General features: G+C 38.5%; 1 annotated feature.

The window, feature by feature from the left end:
- Positions 281-1,480: an enhancer, noted in NCBI's record as "P300/CBP strongly-dependent group 1 enhancer chr11:129509075-129510274 (GRCh37/hg19 assembly coordinates)". NCBI's record gives its function as "activates an origin of replication core promoter dependent on BRD2, BRD4, P300/CBP, MED14 and CDK7 cofactors, with strong dependence on P300/CBP, by STARR-seq in HCT116 cells {active_cell/tissue: HCT116}" and the evidence as "EXISTENCE:reporter gene assay evidence [ECO:0000049][PMID:35650434]".

Below are 2,935 nucleotides of genomic sequence, written 5' to 3'. Positions count from 1 at the left end.
GATTAAGTGGAGGAGAGAAGAGAGGGACCGAGGAAGAAAAAAAAGGCCGTGGACAAATGAAAACTGTCTTGTGAACATAAAGTGATTGACATAGATCACATCACCTGGATTATGATGATTTAAAAGGCAGTTCACACACAGAAATCCCAGAAAGGTTTAGAGCAAAATAATGACTTTCAGAGAAGACTGTGAATTTGGATCTCTACATTCCAGTACACTTATGGGGGAAAAGAAAGTGCTTTTAACTTACAAGTATTCTGAATAGTCACTCTTTCGGAGTCTTTTTTTTTTTAATTGGAAAGTAACATTTTTCCATTAGAGGATTCAATTCTACTACTGCTGCAAAAGAATTATTTCTGGAGTCAGAATCAAATCAACCTTTATAATCAGTCTAATGAGTCAGACCCACTGATATATATTAGTGGACCTGGCTTCTGTTCTAGGTCAGGAACTGAGAGCTCCTGACACTTTGTAATAGTGTAATAGGGGATAAAATGTCAGAAATTTCAGTGAAAATGGAGGTTAAGTTGTGCATTTTAAAAGCAATTTTTAGGTATAAGGTAGTAAGTAGCTAGTACTTATGTGCCAGCAGTTCAGAAAGCAAAACCCAATGGCCAATTATTCTTTGCTTTGTACATTTGGGGACTATAAGCAGACGGACACTAAGGAGCACACATCCCTGGATTTATTTCTCAAAACATATCGCACATTCCTAATTTTCCTCACAGATCTTTTTAAAGATTACTCTCAGAATGTGCCCAAAGAGTCCCTGAACAAATGCTATTCATTTTGGTAAATATAACAAAAATCATTAGAAGATATCAGCATTTTAAATAGCGATTATAATCCGGTGGTTGACTTCTGTATTGCCCTGTTCGGTATCTATATGTTTTGTAAAGGCTTACATTGACTTGTTTACAGATATACCATTTGCATTTAGCTAATTGTGACGTCTGTGGTCATTTTCTATAAAGAGGTTGGTCTTTAAGCTGTTGGTAATGAATGTGGCTTAGTTTCTACTGGAAAATCTGATTCAGCTTACATCATTTTGACTTATAGCACCTTTGCCAGGAATGAAATCTAAGAGTGCAAGACTGCCTTGTTTTTCCCCAGGTCTGCAGAGGCCTGTTGCTTTTAATGGGTTGTGTGTAGGACACAAGGATGTGACTCATCTATCCACTTAAGAGTCATAAAACAGTAATGCAGACAGCTCAGCGTCAGTCATAACGTTCATTGTATGCACCATACTGAATGGGCATTACCATTTAGTTTTTGTTATTTTACAGGAAAGTGGGCATTGGTACCCAGTGGACAAACAAAATATTTATTAAGCTTATTGTCATCAATGTCATTAATATAACTGTTTTCAGTGAGCGTAGAACAAGTGTGTGGAGCTATTTGTTGTCAACTGAACATCCCTGCCACCCCTTCTAATGTCTCCCTGCTCCATGGAAGAGAAATCAGGACTGTAGTTGTAATTTGCAGAATTCTCTTCTCTGTGAGGTTCAGGAGAGACCATCCAGGAAGACGCACTTGTATGAGGAAGGAGGAAGGCAAGGCCAGTATTCTCCAGTGGCAGTTGTAGGCACACGCATGGAGAGATGTAAGGTTCAAAGCAGCTTTCAGATGAACTTTTGGAGAATTGCCTTTTGTGCTACGAGAGGGGATAGATGTCTAGAGCATCTCTCGACTCACAAGTTTTGCAGTTTTCCAGGTGAGCTCCTGGGAATCGTGTGCTTCAGTGCTCCAAGCAGAGTGTTAACAATGGCCTCCTTGACCTTTGCTTCCCTAACAGTTGCAGAAGCTTCACTTTCTTGTCTAAAACTATTAATATTTGGAAGACACAGAGTGGCTTCTATTTTCCTGATAAAAACGTGGCTGATATAAGAAGTAATTATTTAAAAATTAATAAAAAATTAGAAAAGGTAGAATGCATAAATCATAGATTAAAATAAACTGCCAGTGGGCTATGGTTACTATAAAAATAAGATGGTCAAAGGCTGATCAAATGGAAGAATGAATAAATAAAAGTCATTCAAATAATCAATCAATTATAGAACAATCAATTAAATATATTAAATATTAAGTTTATGTAATTATAATTTATCTATTATGTACATATTATATTTAATCTGTAAATATATATGATATATATATAACAACTAGGAATCTAGATTCGGTATCACACGATTAGTACCAAGCATGAAGTGAGCACAGCAAGCAGGAAGTAAGGCCAGGATGAAAGAACACATCCCAGCTAGAAACAGGAAATTAGAAGTTTGATTCACTTATTTATTCATGCAACAAATATTTTTGAGCACTTTCTACCCCAAGTACTGTGCTAAATGGTGGAGGATGCAACAAGAACAAGATAAACGGGTAACTGCTCTTGAGGTGCTTATGCTCTACTTGGGAATATGGACAAGTGAATAGCCAACTGTCATTGAGTGTGATGCGTGTCATGATGAGAGAAGTACATCGTGTTGTAGGAACACCTAGAGGCAGGAAGTAGGGTGTGGGGTGGGGAGGAAAAAAGACTTCCTGAGAAAGTGGCTTCTAAGCTGAGACTTGAAGGATGAAAGGAGGTTAATGGTCAAGGTGCATGGGGTAGAGGAGATGGAGGTTGAAGAGGGAGCTCAGAGACTGTTCTGGTAGGCACCCCATTGTCAGGTGGTAGTGGTGGTAAACTCCACAGGCAATGGGGAGATATCGCAGGGTTTTAAGTAGCAGAATGATATGATCAGGTTTATGATTTCAAATGATGCCTCTGGCTGTAGGTTCAAGAATGGATTTCAGTGAGCAACGTGGATGTGGGGAGAACAACTAGAGAGTGTTGTAACAGTCCACATACGAGATGTCCATAACTTGGACATGGCAGTGGGGATGGAGAGAAGTTAGCAGATACAAGAAATGTTTAGTCGATGACTGACAGAGA

The sequence above is a fragment of the Homo sapiens genome, chromosome 11, assembly GCF_000001405.40.
Source record: "Homo sapiens chromosome 11, GRCh38.p14 Primary Assembly".
NCBI classification, from domain to species: Eukaryota; Metazoa; Chordata; class Mammalia; order Primates; family Hominidae; genus Homo; species Homo sapiens.
Note: the sequence above shows the minus strand (reverse complement) of the source record. Positions and strands in the feature narration are given on the sequence as shown.